At 48.5% G+C, this 18,206-nt stretch overlaps 1 protein-coding gene and 1 pseudogene across 5 annotated transcripts, besides 3 other annotated features; one reads left to right on the top strand and one right to left on the bottom strand.

Annotated features, from left to right (window-relative positions):
• On the bottom strand, window positions 162–789 carry MARK2P1 (MARK2 pseudogene 1; annotated as a pseudogene).
• Window positions 1,116–1,785: an enhancer, noted in NCBI's record as "NANOG-H3K27ac-H3K4me1 hESC enhancer chr3:9895593-9896262 (GRCh37/hg19 assembly coordinates)". NCBI's record gives its function as "activates a minimal SCP1, AML or CMV promoter by ChIP-STARR-seq in naive H9 embryonic stem cells {active_cell/tissue: H9 hESC(naive)}" and the evidence as "EXISTENCE:reporter gene assay evidence [ECO:0000049][PMID:30033119]".
• Window positions 6,339–7,199: an enhancer, noted in NCBI's record as "NANOG-H3K27ac hESC enhancer chr3:9890179-9891039 (GRCh37/hg19 assembly coordinates)". NCBI's record gives its function as "activates a minimal SCP1, AML or CMV promoter by ChIP-STARR-seq in naive H9 embryonic stem cells {active_cell/tissue: H9 hESC(naive)}" and the evidence as "EXISTENCE:reporter gene assay evidence [ECO:0000049][PMID:30033119]".
• RPUSD3 (RNA pseudouridine synthase D3) lies at window positions 11,686–17,845 on the top strand. Of its 5 annotated transcripts, none has more exons than NM_173659.5 (9): window positions 11,686–11,804; window positions 12,093–12,229; window positions 13,451–13,495; window positions 13,612–13,711; window positions 14,889–14,996; window positions 15,078–15,162; window positions 15,387–15,510; window positions 16,523–16,662; window positions 17,487–17,845. In NM_173659.5, the coding sequence occupies exons 1-9, from the start codon at window positions 11,704–11,706 to the stop codon at window positions 17,676–17,678; spliced, it is 1,032 nt and encodes a 343-aa protein (NP_775930.3). In that variant the 5' UTR covers window positions 11,686–11,703; the 3' UTR covers window positions 17,679–17,845. The 5 variants fall into 5 exon arrangements, with proteins under 5 accessions (NP_775930.3, NP_001338667.2, NP_001136019.2 ...); NM_001351738.2 differs by having other exon boundaries at window positions 15,359–15,510; NM_001142547.3 differs by lacking the exon at window positions 13,451–13,495.
• Window positions 11,744–11,823: an enhancer, noted in NCBI's record as "active region_19411". NCBI's record gives its function as "activates an Ori minimal core promoter by ATAC-STARR-seq in GM12878 lymphoblastoid cells {active_cell/tissue: GM12878}" and the evidence as "EXISTENCE:reporter gene assay evidence [ECO:0000049][PMID:35858748]".

Here is an 18,206-nt window from a genome sequence, read left to right as displayed (position 1 = left end):
GACTTATGCTGGGGGGCTTTGCTGGGAATGGCTGGCTTCATCTCCAGGCCAAGTAGGGTTCTGCCCTAACTCCCAGGATGGTGTTCATGCTTCTGTGAATTAGAAAGTGGGAAAGGTCGGCTGGTTTTGAGTCCTCTTCTGGGTTGGACAGGGAAGGTTGACTTAACTGTGGCAGATGGGGAAGGACAGATGGGATCCCCGGGAGGGAGGGATTGTGCTCCGATGTTGGAGCCCTTTCTCCTCTGCACTTTTCTGAACTCCATGATTAGGTAGGTGGCCATGGGATGATCATATATTTTTTTAATATCACTTCCTCGATATGTTCTTCCTAGAATCCCATGGCCACTATGAGCTGGGTTGTTGGGGGGCCTGGGTAGTCCAGGAGTGGCTCTCTGTATGGCTTGAATCATGTCTTCTGGTCACTATTGACCCAGGAGTTCCTCAACAGCTGGTCCAGTGGGAGCTGCTCCCTGGGGTTGAGTGTGAAGAATTTTTAAATATTTTTTTCCATAAAATGAATAAAAAAGTAGCATACTATTTTAATTTTTTTTTTTTCAGTATATCCTTACAGTTCTGCTCATAAAATGGCAGGGCCCCAGCCACCATTTTGCATACGATGATGCCAAGGCTCCAAACGTTGATGGCAGGGCATTGGTACCCATGGCCCAAGAAGAGTTCTGGGCCTGCATAAGGGAGAGTCCCATCAAACGTTCCCTTTTCAGTGTTGTCTCTCTTTGCAAATGTTGAACTAAACCCATAGTTGGCTATTTTGATGTTACGTTCTTTGTCAAAGAAGATATTAAGCTTTGTTCTGACCCCAGGAGAGCTCTTCCCACCTGTCTTTTTTTCTGTTTCTCTCTGGCAGACTTGCTGGCCTCCAGTGTAGCCCGCACCTCCCAGGCTCTCCGTCGCCTCCCAGTTGCCTTTCAGCACAACCTCCACTGTTCTGGAGAGTGTGCTTAGCCTTGGACTTCTCCGAGCTCTGTTGCACATGAAGTCAGTTCCTTCGGGAGCAACTCGCACCTTTTGTTTTCTGTCTGCTGCTTTCTCAGGCAAACTCTCTGAGCCAGAGCTATGGTGCTGGGCACAGTGGTGCATTTCTCTCTGGTGACACCTGCATGTTAGGAGCTGGGCCCTTGGTTGTGGGGAAAAGAAAGAGAGATCAGATTGTTAATGTGTCTGTATAGAAAGTAGACATAAGAGACTCCATTTTAATCTGTAACCTTATCCCCAACCCTGTGCTCCCTGAGACACGTGCTGTGTCAACTCAGGGTTAAATGGATTAAGGGCTGTGCAGGGTGTGCTTTGTTCAACAGATGCTTGAAGGCAGCATGCTCGTTAAGAGTCATCACCACTCCCTAATCTCAAGTACCCGGGGACACAAACACTGCGGAAGGCCACAGGGACCTCTGTCTAGGAAAGCCAGGTATTGTCCAAGGTTTCTCTCCATGTGATAGTCTGAAATATGGCCTCGTGGGAAGGGAAAGACCTGACCGTCCCCCAGCCCGACACCCGTAAAGGGTCTGTGCTGAGGAGGATTAGTAAAAGAGGAAGGCATGCCTCTTTGCAGTTGAGACAAGAGGAAGGCATCTGTCTCCTGCTTGTCCCTGGGCAATGGAATGTCTCGGTGTAAAACCCGATTCCATCTACTGAGATAGGGGAAAACCGCCTTAGGGCTGGAGGTGGGACATGCGGGCAGCAATACTGCTCTTTAAGGCATTGAGATGTTTATGTGTATACATATCTAAAGCACAGCACTTAATTCTTTACCTTGTCTATGATGCAGAGACCTTTGTTCACGTGTTTATCTGCTGACCTTCTCTCCACTGTTATCTGATGATCCTGCCACATCCCCCTCTCCGAGAAACACCCAATAATGATCAATAAATACTAAGGGAACTCAGAGGCTGGGGTGGATTCTCCGTATGCTGAACGCCGGTCCCCTGGGCCTCCTTATTTCTTTCTCTATACTTTGTCTCTGTGTCTCTTTCTTTTCCAAGTCTCTCATTCCACCTAACAAGAAACACCCACAGGTGTGGAGGGGCAACCCACCCCTTCATCTGGTGCCCAACGTGGGTGCTTTTCTCTAGGGTGAAGGTACGCTCGAGTGTGGTCATTGAGGACAAGTCCACAAGAGATCCCGAGTACGTCTACAGTCAGCCTTGCGGTAAGCTTGTGCGCTTGGAAGAAGCCGGGGTAACAATGAGGCAAACTAAAAGTAAAACTAAAAGTAAATATGCCTCTTATCTCAGCTTTATTAAAATTCTTTTAAAAAGCGGGGGAGTTAGAGTACCTACAAAAAATCTGATCAAGCTATTTTGAACAATAGAACAATTTTGCCCATGGTTTCCAGAATAGGGAACTTTAGATCTAAAAGATTGGAAAAAAATTGGCAAAGAATTAAAACAAGCAAGTAGGGAGGGTAAAATCATCCCACTTACAGTATGGAATGATTGGGCCATTATTAAAGCAGCTTTAGAACCATTTCAAACAGAAGAAGATAGCGTTTCAGTTTCTGATGCCCCTGAAGGCTGTGTAATAGATTGTAAAGAAGAGGCGGGGAGGAAATCCCGGAAAGAAATGGAAAGTTTACATTGTGAATATGCAGTAGAGCTGGTAATGGCTCAGTCAATGCAAAATGTTGACTATAATCAATTACAGCAGGTGATATACCCTGAAACGTTAAAATTAGAAGAAAAAGGTCCAGAATTAGTGGGGCCATCAGAGTCTAAACCACGAGGGACAAGTCCTCTTCCAGCAGGTCAGATGCCCGTAACATTACAACCTCAAACACAGGTTAGAGAAAATAAGACCCAACCACCAGTAGCTTATCAATACTGGCTGCCGGCTGAATTTCAGTATCGGCCACCCCCAGAAAGTCAGTATGGACATCCAGGAATGCTCCCAGCACCACAGGGCAGGGCGCCATACCCTCAGCCGCCCACTATGAGACTTAATCCTACAGCACCACCTAATAGACAGGGTAGTGCATTACATAAAATTATTGATAAGTCAAGAAAGCAAGGAGATATTGAGGCGTGGCCATTCCCACTAATGTTAGAACTGATACCACCTGGAGAAGGAGCCCAAGAGGGAGAGCCTCCCACAGTTGAGGCCAGATACAAGTCTTTTTCTATAAAAATGCTAAAAGACATGAAAGAGGGAATAAAACAGTATGGACCCAACTCCCCTTATATGAGGACATTATTAGATTCCATTGCACACGGACATAGACTCATTCCTTATGATTGGGAGATTCTGGCAAAATCGTCTCTCTCACCCTCTCAATTTTTACAATTTAAGATTTGGTGGATTAATGGGGCACAAGAACAGGTCCGAAAAAATAGGGCTGCTAATCCTCCAGTTAACATAGATGCAGATCAACTACTGGGAACTGGTCAAAATTGGAGCACTATTAGTCAACAAGCATTAATGCAAAATGAGGCCATTGAGCAAGTTAGAGCTATCTGCCTTAGAGCCTGGGAAAAAATCCAAGACCCAGGAACCGCCTGCCCCTCATTTAATACAAGACAAGGCTCTAAAGAGCCCTACCCTGATTTTGTGGCAAGGCTCCAAGATGTTGCTCAAAAGTCAATTGCCGATGAAAATGCCCGTAAGGTCATAGTGGAGTTGATGGCATACGAAAATGCCAATCCTGAGTGTCAATCAGCCATTAAGCCATTAAAAGGAAAGTTTCCCGCAGGATCAGATGTAATCTCAGAGTATGTAAAAGCCTGTGATGGAATCGGAGGAGCTATGCATAAAGCTATGCTTATGGCTCAAGCACTAATGGGAGCTGCTTTAGGAGGACAAGTTAGAACATTTGGAGGGAAATGTTATAATTGTGGTCAAAGTGGTCATTTAAAAAAGAATTGCCCAGCCTCAAATAAACAGAATATAACTATTCAAGTGACTACAACAACAGGTAAAGAGCCACCTGACTTATGTCCAAGATGTCAAAAAGGAAAACACTGGGCTAGTCAATGTCGTTCTAAATTTGATAGAAATGGGCAACCATTGTCGGGAAACGAGCAAAGGGGCCAGCCTCAGTCCGGCCCCACAACAAACTGGGGCATTCCCAGTTCAGCCCTTTGTTCCTCAGGGTTTTCAGGGAAGACAACCCCCACTGTCCCAAGTGCCTCAGGGAATGAGCCAGTTACCACAATACAACAATTGTCCCCCGCCACAAGCGGCAGTGCAGCAGTAGATTTATGTACTATACAAGCAGTTTCTCTGCTTCCAGGGGAGCCCCCACAAAAAATCCCCACAGGGGTATATGGCCCACTGCCTGAGGGGACTGTAGGACTAATCTTAGGAAGATCAAGTCTAAATCGAAAGGGAGTTCAAATTCACACTGGTGTGGTTGATTCAGACTATAAAGGTGAAATTCAATTGGTTATTAGCTCTTCAATTCCTTGGAGTGCCAGTCCAGGAGACAGGATTGCTCAATTATTACTCCTGCCTTATATTAAGGTTGGAAATAGTGAGATAAAAAGAACAGGAGGGTTTGGAAGCACTGATCCAACAGGAAAGGCTGCATATTGGGCAAGTCAGGTCTCAGAGAACAGACCTGTGTGTAAGTCCATTATTCAAGGAAAACAGTTTGAAGGGTTAGTAGACACTGGAGCAGATGTCTCTCATTGCTTTAAATCAGTGGCCAAAAAATTGGCCTAAACAAAAGGCTGTTACAGGACTTGTCGGCGTAGGCACAGCCTCAGAAGTGTATCAAAGTACTAGGATTTTACATTGTTTAGGGCCAGATAATCAAGAAAGTACTTCCCATGTTAAAAAACATTTATTATCGTATTTTGCTGTAATGGGAGTTCGAGAAAAAATTAAAACTGACAATGGACCAGGATATTGTAGTAAAGCTTTCCAAAGATTCTTAAATCAGTGAAAAATTTCACATACAACAGGAATTCCCTATAATTCCCAAGGACAGGCCATAGTTGAAAGTACTAATAGAACACTCAAAACTCAATTAGTTAAACAAAAAGAAGGGGGAGACAATAAGGAGTGTACCACTCCTCAGATGCAACTTAATCTAGCACTCTATACTTTAAATTTTTTAAACATTTATAGAAATCAGACTACTACTTCTGCAGAACAACATCTTACTGGTAAAAAGAACAGCCCACATGAAGGAAAACTGATTTGGTGGAAAGATAATAAAAATAAGACATGGGAAATAGGGAAGGTGGTGACGTGGGGGAGAGGTTTTGCTTGTGTTTCACCAGGAGAAAATCAGCTTCCTGTTTGGATACCCACTAGACATTTGAAGTTCTACAATGAATCCATCAGAGATGCAAAGAAAAGCGCCTCCACGGACATGGAAACACCAGTCACATGGATGGATAATCCTATTGAAGTATATGTTAATGATAGTGTATGGGGTACCTGGCCCCACAGATGATCGCTGCCCTGCCAAACCTGAGGAAGAAGGGATTATGATAAATATTTCCACTGGGTATCGTTATCCTCCTATTTGCCTAGGGAGAGCACCAGGATGCTTAATGCCTGCAGTCCAAAATTGGTTGTTAGAAGTACCTACTGTCAGTCCCATCAGTAGATTCACTTATCACACGGTAAGCAGGATGTCACTCAGGCCACGGGTAAATAATTTACAAGACTTTTCTTATCAAAGATCATTAAAATTTAGACCTAAAGGGAAACCTTGCCCCAAGAAAATTCCCAAAGGATCAAAAAATACAGAAGCTTTAGTTTGGGAAGAATGTGTGGCCAATAGTGCGGTAATATTACAAAACAATGAATTTGGAACTATTATAGATTGGGCACCTTGAGGTCAATTCTACCACAATTGCTCAGGGCAAACTCAGTCATGTCCCAGGGCACAAGTGAGTCCAGCTGTTGAAAGTGACTTAACAGAAAGTTTAGACAAACATAAGCATAAAAAATTACAGTCTTTCTATCCCTGGGAATGGGGAGAAAAAGGAATCTCTACCCCAAGACCAAAAATAATAAGTCCTGTTTCTGGTCCTGAACATCCAGAATTATGGAGGCTTACTGTAGCCTCATACCACATTAGGATTTGGTCTGGAAATCAAACTTTAGAAACAAGAGATCATCAGCCGTTTTATACTATCGACCTAAATTCCAGTCTAACGGTTCCTTTACAAAGTTGTGTAAAGCCCCCTTATATGCTAGTTGTAGGAAATATAGTTATTAAACCAGACTCTCAAACTATAACCTGTAAAAAGTAGATAGTTTACTTGCATTGATTCGACTTTTAATCGGCAGCACCGTATTCTGCTGGTGAGAGCAAGAGAGGGCGTGTGGATCCCTGTGTCCATGGACCGACCGTGGGAGGCCTCGCCATCCGTCCATATTTTGACTGAATATTAAAAGCCATTTTAAATAGATCCAAAAGATTCATTTTTACTTTAATTACAGTGCTTATGGGATTAATTGCAGTCACAGCTACGGCTGCTGTGGCAGGAGTTGCGCTGCACTCTTCTGTTCAGTCAGTAAACTTTGTTAATGATTGGCAAAAAAATGCTACAAGATTGTGGAATTCACAATCTGGTATTGATCAAAAATTGGCAAATCAAATTAATGATTTTAGACAAACTGTCATTTGGATGGGAGACAGGCTCATGAGCTTAGAACATCGTTTCCAGTTACAATGTGACTGGAATATGTCAGATTTTTGTATTACACCCCAAGTTGTAATGAGTCTGAGCATCACTGGGACATGGTTAGACGCCATCTACAGGCAAGAGAAGATAATCTCACTTTAGACATTTCCAAATTAAAAGAACAAATTTTCAAAACATCAAAAGCCCATTTAAATTTGGTGCCAGGAACTGAGGCAATCGCAGGAGTTGCTGATGGCCTCACAAATCTTAACCCTGTCACTTGGGTTAAGACGATTGGAAGTACTACGATTATAAATTTCATATTAATCCTTGTGTGCCTGTTTTGTCTGTTGTTCAAGTCTGCAGGTGTACCCAACAGCTCTGAAGAGACAGCGACCATCAAGAACGGGCCATGATGATGATGGCAGTTTTGTCGAAAAGAAAAGGGGGAAATGTGGGGAAAAGAGAGATCAGATTGTTACTGTGTCGTGTAGAAATAAGTAGACATAGGAGACTCCATTTTGCTCTGTACTAAGAAAAATTATTCTGCCTTGAGATGCTGTTAATCTATAACCTTACCCCCAACCCCGTGCTCTCTGAAACATGTGCTGTGTCCACTCAGGGTTAAATGGATTAAGGGCGGTGCAAGATGTGCTTTGTTCAACAGATGCTTGAAGGCAGCATGCTTGTTAAGAATCATCACCACTCCCTAATCTCAAGTACCCAGGGACACAAACACTGCGGAAGGCCGCAGGGTCCTCTGCCTGGGAAAGCCAGGTATTGTCCAAGGTTTCTCCCCATGTGATAGTCTGAAATATGGCCTCGTGGGAAGGGAAAGACCTGACCGTCCCCCAGCCCGACACCTGTAAAGGGTCTGTGCTGAGGAGGATTAGTAAAAGAGGAAGGCATGCCTCTTTGCAGTTGAGACAAGAGGAAGGCATCTGTCTCCTGCCCGTCCCCGGGCAATGGAATGTCCCCTGGGCAATGGAATGTCTCGGTATAAAACCCGATTGTATGTTCCATCTACTGAGATAGGGGAAAACCGCCTTAGGGCTGGAGGTGGGACATGCGGGCAACAATACTGCTCTGTAAGGCATTGAGATGTTTTATGTGTATGCATATCTAAAGCACAGCACTTAATTCTTTACCTTGTCCATGATGCAGAGACCTTTGTTCACGTGTTTATCTGCTGACCTTCTCTCCACTATTATCCTATGACCCTGCCACATCCCCCTCTCCGAGAAACACCCAAGAATGATCAATAAATACTAAGGGAACTCAGAGGCTGGCGGGATCCTCCATATGCTGAACGCTGGTCCCCTGGGCCCCCTTATTTCTTTCTCTATACTTTGTCTCTGTGTCTTTTTCTTTTCCAAGTCTCTCGTTCCACCTAACAAGAAACACCCACAGGTGTGGAGGGACAACCCACCCCTTCAGAAAGTAATAGTTTATTTCATTTATTTATATTTTTTCTCTCCTTTTCACAGGTGTTGAACAGTTTATTTTACTAATGCATGTGGTTTACCCCAACACATCCCAAATATCATGATTCCAACATGTGGTGTTGGCTGCATTTTCAGAGCTTGCAGTCATACGTCTTAGTCTGTTGGGGCTGCTGTGACAAAATACTGTAAATTGGGTCTCTCTAACAACAGCAATATAATGTTCACAGTTCTGGAGGCTGGCAGTCCAAGATCAGCTGGCATACAGGGTGTCTGGTGAGGGCCCACTTTCTGGGTCATGCCTGCCATCTTCCCACTGTGGTCACATGGCGGAAGGGGCGAGGGAGCTCTCTGGGGCCTCTTGTATAAGGGCGCTAATCCCAACCACAAGGGCCCCACCCTCATGACCCCATCACCTCCCAAAGATGCCACCTCCAGATGCCATCACCTTGGGGATGAGGTGTCAACACATGAGTTTGGGGGGACACAGACATTTGTTCATGTGGTAAGTGGCTCCAATGCTGGCCTGCCTCTGAGGCCTGGCCTCCTGGTGGAGGGCCGTGCAGGCACAGGGCTCTCGTGCACTGGGGTCCCCGGGGACACCTCCCACCCCTGCCCAGGCTCTACTTGGGAGTTGGCAGGTGCTGAGTCCTCTTGTGACCTTCTTAAGAAAGTCCCTCCTGGCCAGGTTCAGTGGCTCATGACAGTAATCCCAGCACTTTAGGAGGCCGAGTCGGGTGGATAACTTGAGGCCAGGAGTTCAAGACCAGCTTGGTCAACATGGTGAACCCCTTTCTCTACTGAAAATACAAAACTTAGCAGGGTGTGGTGGCAGGCGCCTGTAATCTCTGTTACTTGGGAGGCTGCAGCTAGAGAATCGCTTCAACCCAGAAGGCAGAGGTTGTAGCGAGCCGAGATCACGCCATTGTACTCCAGCCTGGGCAACAGAGCAAGACTCTGTCTCAAAAAAAAAAAAAGAAAGTCCCTTCTCTCAGAGCTCAGGGCTGATAACAGAGCAAGAAATGCATCCTCGGGGAGAGAGAGCAGCCTGGCCTGGCCTGGCCTGGGAAGGCTGGCTTCAACCATCAAAGACAGCTCTCACACCTCAGGCCCCAGGGCCTGGGGCTTGATCCCTGCATCCCCTCTTCCGCTGGCTGAGCTCTGTGCCTCAAGAGTGAGACTCCACCCTCCCAGCACTCCCTCACAAGCAGACCGGGCCCCATCCTGCCTCTGCTGACCCCCACTCCCCTGGGGCCTGCTCTCTGGGTCAGGACCCGCATGGAAACCAGGGGCAGGCCATCCCAACACCTCCCAGAGGCTGCCGGCAGCTCAGGCTGGTTTTCCTGTGACCAGTGCAAGTGTTCTTTTCAGTTATCTGACTTCCTTCCGGGGCATTCTGAGCCCACCCATAGCTTTTGGCATGCCTTTAAGGGACACAAAGAACCACAACAGCCACTGTGTCCTCATCTGTAAGGCAGGGCCCCAACCCACCCTGCCTTCCTCATAGGGGTGTGTAATGCTGGATGAAAAAGCCTATTAGAAAGTGTCCGTCAAAGGCCGGGCACGGTGGCTCACACCTGTAATCCCAACACTTTGGGAGGCTGAGGCAGGTGGATCACCTGAGGTCGGGAGTTTGAGACCAGCCTGGTCAACATGGTGAAACCCCATCTCTACTAAAAAATACAAAAAATTAGGCAGGTATGATGGTGCATGCCTGTAGTATCAGCTACTTGGGAGGCTGGGGCAGGAGAATTGCTTGAACCCAGGAGGCAGAGGTTGCAGTGAGCCAAGATCGTGCCACTGAACTCCAGCCCGGGTGACAGAGTGAGACTCCATCTCGAAGGAAAAAAAAAAAGAAGTGTCTGTCAAAGGCCCCGTGCGGCCTTTAATCCCAGCACTCTGGGAGGCCGAAGTAGGTGGGTGAATCCCTTAAACCCAGGAGTTTGATTTTTTAAAAATTATTTTGTTATTTTTATTTTCTTATCTTGAGCCCAGGAGTTTGAGACCAGCCTGGGCAACATCGTGAGACCCCATATCTTTAAAAAAAAAAAAAAAAAAAAAAAAAGCTAGGTATGGTGGTGCACACCTGTAGTCCCAGCTATTCAGGAGACTGAAGTGGGAGGATCGTTTGAGCCTGGGAGGTTGAGGCTGCAGTGAGCTGTGATTGTGCCACTGCACTCCAGCCTGGATGACAGAGCAAGCAAAAAAACACATTAGTGGCCGGGCACAGTGGCTCACGTCTGTAATCCTAGCACTTTGGGAGGCCAAGGCGGGCGGATTGCCTGAGCTCAGGAGTTCGAGACCAGCCTGGGCGACATGGTGAAACCCCGTCACTAAAATACAAAAAATTAGCCGGGTGTGGTGGCGGGCACCGCACCTGTAATTCCAGCTACTCAGGAGGCAAAGGCAGGGGAATCGCTTGAACCCGGGAGGTGGAAGTTGCAGTGAGTCGAGATCGGGCCACTGCACTCTAGCCTGGGTGACAGAGCGAGACTCTGTCTCCAAAAAACAAAAACCAAAACACATTAGGAAAATGTTCACACCAAACTCAAAGTGGAGACTGGGGAGGGAGTGAAAACTGGAAGCACGCAGTAAAGGGGAATTTACTTTTATCCCTTTCATTTCTTAAACAAGAAAAACAGGAAACCTATACATATATATATTGTTTCACAATGACTAATTCTGATGGTAGGAATGTGGGCAGTCATTATATTATTCTTTTTTTTCTGTGTTCTTCTACTTTCTTTTTCTTTTTTCTTTTTTTTTTTTTTTTGAGACGGAGTCTCGCTCGTCGCCCAGGCTGGAGTGCAGTGGCACGATCTCGGCTCACTGCAAACTCCGCCTCCCGGGTTCACGCCATTCTCCTGCCTCAGCCTCCCGAGTAGCTGGGACTACAGGCGCCCGCCACCACGCCCGGCTAATTTTTTTGTATTTTTGGTGGAGACGTGGTTTCACCGTGTTAGCCAGGATGGTCTCGATCTCCTGACTTCGAGGGGCCACAGGACTAGTAGAGCCAAGAGTTGAGGGTCCGGGTGGGGTGATCCGGCCGTCAGAAATGCAAAAGCCTGGAAAGACATCTCCAAAGGCCAATCTCAGGTTGGACAATCGTGAGCTGGGGAAGCTGCAAACACTGTGACCTCCGGAATAACCGCTGGTAATCAGTTACCTCTAACCCTTAGCAGAATTCAGGTCCCTCTACTACTCCTAACCTGGTGGCCTTTCATTAACTCTATGAAGCCAGTTTAGTTCGGGGGAAGGGCAATTATCATTTAGACTACGAACTAATTTCTCCCAAAGTTAGCTTGGCCCAAGCCCAGGAATGACCAAGGACCGTTTAGAGGTTAAAGGCAAGCTGCGGGTTGGTTAGATCAGATCTCTTTCGCTGTCATAATTTTGTAATATAATTTTTGCAAAGGCGGCTTCAGGTTTTTTGCTAAGACAGGTTTTTTGATCAGATCAAATTCTTCTGCTACAGCGCTCTCCCTAAAAGCATAGGAAGGCATTTCTGCATTTCCTTCCTGGGCGGAGGAAAAGCCCCGCCTCCTCAGGCTCTGAGTCCCGCCCGGTCACCATTCCGATTGACACTCCAGCTGACCAATCAGCGCGCTGGCTGGAGCGCGGGTCTGCCCCTCTGGACGCACATGCGCGCTGTCCTGGCTCGGGAGATGGACGGCCGCCGTGTTTTGGGCCGGTTCTGGAGTGGCTGGCGGCGGGGCCTGGGTGTCCGCCCAGTGCCCGAGGACGCAGGCTTTGGCACCGAAGCCCGGTGATTAAGTACCCCCTCTCTCATGCGGGACGGAGGCTAGGGCAGGGGGAAGGCACGTGCGGGATCTGGATCAGGTAGATGTTACCCGAAAACAGCCCCGTTGGCCTCTCTGAGCCTCGGTGCCCTCCGCTGTAGAATGGGACCGGTCGTACCTGAATTTTCGAGGTCAGCCCAGACATTGTGAGGCATTTGTCAGAGGCCGCAGGATTTGGGAAGAGGCGTCCGGAGATAGGAATGGGTGGCACCTCGGGATGGAATGACTCCCATTGCTTCTCCCTCCTTGTCCAGGCATCAGAGGCAACCCCGCGGCTCCTGCCAACGGTCGGGGCCCCTCGGGGACCAGCCCTTCGCGGGGCTGCTGCCAAAAAACCTCAGTCGGGAGGAGCTGGTTGATGCGCTGCGGGCAGCCGTGGTGGACCGGAAAGGTGAGGGGTGAGAGGCACGGCCGCACAAGGACCGGGAGGGGACTGCCTCGGCGTGCAGTTGGGCTCTCCATTGAAGCCACGGGATCAGCCCTGCTTCTGCCTCCCACTAGCAGCATGAGCTGGGACAAGCCACCTAATTTGCACCCTCTCCCCGCTTTTAACCCTACTGCCATGATGCAGTAGGGTTAAGAGTGGGGAGAAGATGCAAATAACTACCGAGCCTTGCACATAGCCGGCGCTCAGTTACGGGAGTTGCTATACTAGATTATTGTTTATTGGCCGCGGTGGCTCACGCCTGTAATCCCGGCACTTTAGGGTGCTGACGCGGGCGGATCACCTGAGGTCAGGAGTTCGAGACTAGCCTGGCCAACATGGTGAAACCCCGTCTCTACTAAAAACACAAAAATTAGCCAGGTGTGGCGGCGTCCGCCTGTAATCCCAGCTACTCGGGAGGCTGAGGCAGGAGAGTCACTTGAACCCGGATAGCAGAGGTTGCAGTGAGCCGACATCGTGCTACTGCGCTCCAGCCTGGGATGACAGAGCAAGACTCAGTCTAAATAAATAAATAAATAAATAATGATTATTTATCGACGGACAAAACACAGGCTTTGGAGTCAGACATACCTAGGCTCTGTGATCAGCTTGCTGTGCGGCTTTAGGAAAATAACTGAATTTCTCTGAACCCCACTCTCTATTCAGTGATTTATTCCTTTTCTCAACTATTTCTTGAACATATGCTATGTTCCAGGCACTGTTCTAGGCAGGCTATACAGTGCTGAAAAAGATAGATATGGTTTCTGCTCTCAGGGGAGAAATGGATTTCTCTCTAACGGGAGAAATGGATGTCAGAAAATAAATGAACAAGTTACTAGTGGTAAGTGCTATGCATAAACTAAAACAGGGTGTTATGATGGTGAGGAACTGCAGGAGGAAGGCAGACATTAGATTGGAGATTCAGACCTCTCCGTGATGTGACATTTGAGCCAAGATGATAGGGAGCCAGACCTGGGAAATTTGGGGACAGGAAACAGCAAGTGCCGAGGCTCTGAGGTGGCAGAGGAACAGAAAGAAGTTGAATTTGGTGTGGGGTAGTTAACTCATGTCTGAGAGTCATGATGGGGACATGTGCTAAGATGCGTGAGAAAGTGCTCTGGAAACTCTTTAGTGCTGCATAAAGGGTTACCGTTGCTTTTGCTGATGTTCGTGTGATGTATGTTTCAGGACCTCTAGTGACGTTGAACAAGCCACAGGGTCTACCAGTGACAGGTATGGGCCGGGGATGTGGGAAGGGAATGCAGCGGAAGGGGGTTTCGTGACTGAGGGAGGGAAAAGTGAAGGCATGAAGCTTTGGCCTCTTGTAATTTTTCTTTCTTACTTTCCAGGAAAACCAGGAGAGCTGACGTTGTTCTCAGTGCTGCCAGAGCTGAGCCAGTCCCTAGGGCTCAGGGAGCAGGAGCTTCAGGTTGTCCGAGCATCTGGGAAGTAAGTGGTAGGGGTGACAGGAAGCTAGGAGTACAGGCATCCATCTGTGGTGGGGAAACAGCTGCTTGGGGATAAGCTGAGACATTTTCCATGGGAAGGTTTGAGATCATAGAGGTGGATACAAGTACTGTGAAGAAGAGGAAGCCGATGGCTCTGGGTTCAAATCCTCAAGTACAAATGGTGTGATACCAGGCAAAGCATGACACCTCCCTGACGCTGGGCACAGTGACTCACACCTGTAATCCCAACACTTCTGGAGGCCAAGGCAAGAGGATCACTTGAGCCCAGGAGTTCGAGACCAGCCTGGGCAAAATAGACCCCATCTCTGGAAAAACAACAACAAAACTTTCCGCGTGGTGGCTCATGCCTATAATCAATAGGACTTTGGGAGGCCGAGGTGGGAGGATTGCTTGAGTCCAGAAGTTCAAGACCAGCCTGGGCAACATGGCAAAACCCTATCTTTACTTAAAAAACAAAATAAAACACACACACACACACACACAAAAACCTAGCTGGGCAGAGCAGCACATGCCTGTAGTGCTCGGGTGGCTGAGATGGGAGAATCACCTGAGCTCAGAAGATGGCAGCTGCAATAAGCTGAGATCCCGCCACTGTACGCAAGCCTAAACAACCTGAATGAGACCCCGTCTCAAAAAAACAAAACAAAACAAATACCCTCCCTGAGCTTCAGTTCCCCTAATGGTAAAATAGAGAAAATAATACCTATGCTCAGTGTGCAGTCATTTCTCCATGACGGTACTCGTGGCAGGCATTGCTAGTCGATCCATGATACTCTTTCCTCTAACTGCCATCAATTAAAGATGGTACTTGAGATGAAATATTTCTGCAGTTCCACAAACTCATGAGCTTTTTTGTAGAGAACTTATTTAAGAGCTAATATGTACAGAATTTCTAGTAGAATTCTGGCACATGGTAGACAATCGTTACGACATTTGGCTCTGAGTTCCCTGGGGGCCGGGGCAAAATGAGAAACACATTAAGCTACATAGTCTTGTTATCAAAGAAGGGGAAACCTTACTTGTTTCTCAGGAGTTGGTCTAGGTTATAGTCCTGGTGTTAGTGTTTGGCCTGAAGCAGGTCAGTGTTCCTAAGAGTTTCCTTTTTAGTGGGCGAGTTCAAGGGACTTTAACTTGTGTGATTTGTCTGCTTATTCCAGAGAAAGCTCTGGGCTTGTACTCCTCTCCAGCTGTCCCCAGACAGCTAGTCGCCTCCAGAAGTACTTCACCCATGCACGGAGAGCCCAAAGGCCCACAGCCACCTACTGGTGAGAGGTGCTGGGAGGTTCCTAGAGTGGTGGGGAGGTCCCAGCAAGCCACCCTGTGACCTCCTCCTGCCCCTTTCTCAGTGCTGTCACTGATGGGATCCCAGCTGCTTCTGAGGGGAAGATCCAGGCTGCCCTGAAACTGGAACACATTGATGGGGTCAATCTCGTGAGTCCGGGTCTGGGAAGAGGAGGGGTGCTTCTAGATATAGTACCCCTACAGAGAGGAGTCAGGGGTATGGATTTGGGATGGCTGGCTCTCCTGTCCCCTAAAACAGGCAAGTGACCACTGCCTATACTGTGGCCCTGCCCGGAGTCTATTGGGAGCAGGGAGGGTCTGGGTATAGCTCCCAGACCTGTGTAAGGCTTGTTCACTCTTGGCTGGCACCACAGACAGTTCCAGTGAAGGCCCCATCCCGAAAGGACATCCTGGAAGGTGTCAAGAAGACTCTCAGTCACTTTCGTGTGGTAGCCACAGGCTCTGGCTGTGCCCTGGTCCAGCTGCAGCCACTGACAGGTAGGTCTGGCACCCTAGCCAGCCTTTAAAACTGCACTTGATTTGGGAGGCTGAGGCAGGTGGATCACGAGGTCAGGAGTTCAAGACCAGTCTGGCCAAGATGGTGAAACCCTGTTTCAACTAAAAACTACAAAAATTAGCTGGGCACGGTGGCAGGCGCCTGTAAAACCAGCTACTCGGGAGGCTGAGGCAGGAGAATCGCTTGAACCTGGGAGGCAGAAGTTGCAATGAGCCAAGATCATGCCACTGCACTCCAGTCTAGGTGATAGAGGAGACTTCATCTAAAAAAAAAAAAAACTGCACTTGAGCCAGGCGCGGTGGCTCACGCCTGTAATCCCAGCACTTTGGGAGGCCAAGGCGGATGGATCACTTGAGGTCAGGAGTTCGAAACCAGCCAGGCTAACATGGTGAAACCCTGTCTCTACTAAAAATACAAAAATTAGCTGGAGTTGGTGGCACGCACCTGTAATCCTAGCTACTTGGGAGGCTGAGGCGGGAGAATCGCTTGAACCTGGGAGACAGAGGTTGCAGTGAGCGAAGATCACACCATTGCACTCCAGCCTGGGAGACAGAGTGAAACGCTGGCTAAAAAAAAAAAAAACTGCACTTGGCTTAGGGAGGCAAGGAGCTGGGGAGACAGTGGTATCAGCAGCAGCCTGGGGAGCATTTGATGGCCCCCAGAGGTGTATGTGACCAGGCCCAGCTAGAGGAGGCAGCTTCAGGCTAGCACCCCAACAGGAAAGAACAGTCCTTAGGCCCGGTGGCTTCAGCAATTAAATCAGGGTTGCATCTCATCATGAGTGGATCCCACAGCCAGGCAGATTGATAGCTGTGATCGTCCTGACGTGTTATGTGTCCCTCTCTGGATGCAGGGGCCATAGTACTGACCTCACTGAAACATATGATCTGAGAAAGGGGGTGGTGTTTCCCCAAAGGAAAAGGGGAGGAGTGATACTGGGTGGCACAGAACGAGTAGCTGCCCACTGTCTCTCCTGGCTTTCCTGTTGCCCAGTGTTCTCCAGTCAACTACAGGTGCACATGGTACTACAGCTCTGCCCTGTGCTTGGGGACCACATGTACTCTGCCCGTGTGGGCACTGTCCTGGGCCAGCGATTTCTGCTGCCAGCTGAGAACAACAAGCCCCAAAGACAGGTACTCCAGCCCACCTGCCTGCTGCTTTCTGAGGGGTGGAGGGAGAGGTGAGCATGGGCAGCATCTCCAGACCTTATCTGTGCAGCTTGGGACTACTGGGAGGCAGCCCTTTTGGCTCCCAAGGCTGTATCCGTACCCACATCTTGGTGTGTGGCCTTGGGCAAGTAACACTCACTCTCTTGGGCTTCATTCTGTCCATGTGTTCAATAAGGGAGTTGATGTGGCTAATTTCTAAAGCCCTCTTAAGTCTGCCATTCTTTGAGTCTGGTACAAAGGGTCAAAGGCATGCGTGTATTAGGACACCAGATGCCTCTACCTGCTCTAACACACTAAGCCCAGACTACCAGAGTCTTCACACAAGAACTGTGCCCTCATGTTAAGGTCAAATAATGGGAGTGGGCTCTGCTTCAAGCACTAAGTACTCAGGGACCCAGGCTGTTGATACCCAGCCAGATGAGGGGAGACAGTGTAGGTTCAAGTGGATAAGGTTTTTCTGGGCCAGGTGTGGAAGTGGCATACATACTGCCACCCACATTCACTCAGCTAGAGCTCACTCACGTCTCACCAAGCTGTGAGAGGGCTGGGAAATGGAGTTGAGGTGTGTGCCTAGGAGGAAACTGATTGGGTGACCCCCTAGCCAGTCTCTGCTGCAGTGTGAGTGCCTGTGTGAATGTGCACATCTGTGTGCAAAGAGGAAATGATTAACAGTTGCAGAACAGTGGGGAATGGAGGAAGCGCCCGCCTTACTCCCATTTCCCTTAGAGCTGGGTACTCAGCTGCTTGGAAAATGTGGGGCTGAACACAACGTACCTCTCCCGCTCCAGGTCCTGGATGAAGCCCTCCTCAGACGCCTCCACCTGACCCCCTCCCAGGCTGCCCAGCTGCCCTTGCACCTCCACCTACATCGGCTCCTTCTCCCAGGCACCAGGGCCAGGGACACCCCTGTTGAGCTCCTGGCACCACTGCCCCCTTATTTCTCCAGGACCCTACAGTGCCTGGGGCTCCGCTTACAATAGTCCTCCCTCTGTTCCTGACCCCCTCACACACACTGGAAAGTGAGGGTGGGGGCTCTGCAGTCAGACAAACCTAAGATCACATCCTGGACAGGCCACTTGCTTGCTGTGTGGCATTGGGCAAGTAACTTTACCTCTCTGGACTTGTGATAATAAAAGTTCCTACCTCATGTTATGGTTTTGAGGATTTGCTAAGAAAGTAAATGTTTATTACGGATCTTGCTTACTGCTGAGTTGTGCCTGTAATCCCAGCACTTTGGGAGGCCAAGGTGGGCGGATCACGAGGACAGGAATTCGAGACTAGCCTGGCCAACATGGTGAAACCCCGTCTCTACAAAAAGTACAAAAATTAGTTGGGTGTGGTGGTACGCGCCTGTAGTTCCAGCTACTCAGGAGGCTGAGGCAGTGAACCTGGGAGGTGGAGGTTGCAGTGAGCCAAGATCACACCCACTGCCTAGGCAACCGAGCAAGACTCCGTCTCAAAAAAAAAAAAAAATTTGTAGAGATGGTGGCTGGGCTCAGTGGCTCATA

The sequence above is a fragment of the Homo sapiens genome, chromosome 3 (assembly GCF_000001405.40).
Source record: "Homo sapiens chromosome 3, GRCh38.p14 Primary Assembly".
In the NCBI taxonomy this organism is placed as follows: domain Eukaryota; kingdom Metazoa; phylum Chordata; class Mammalia; order Primates; family Hominidae; genus Homo; species Homo sapiens.
The sequence above is the reverse complement of the archived record's forward strand: the minus strand, read 5'-3'. Positions and strand labels throughout refer to the sequence as shown.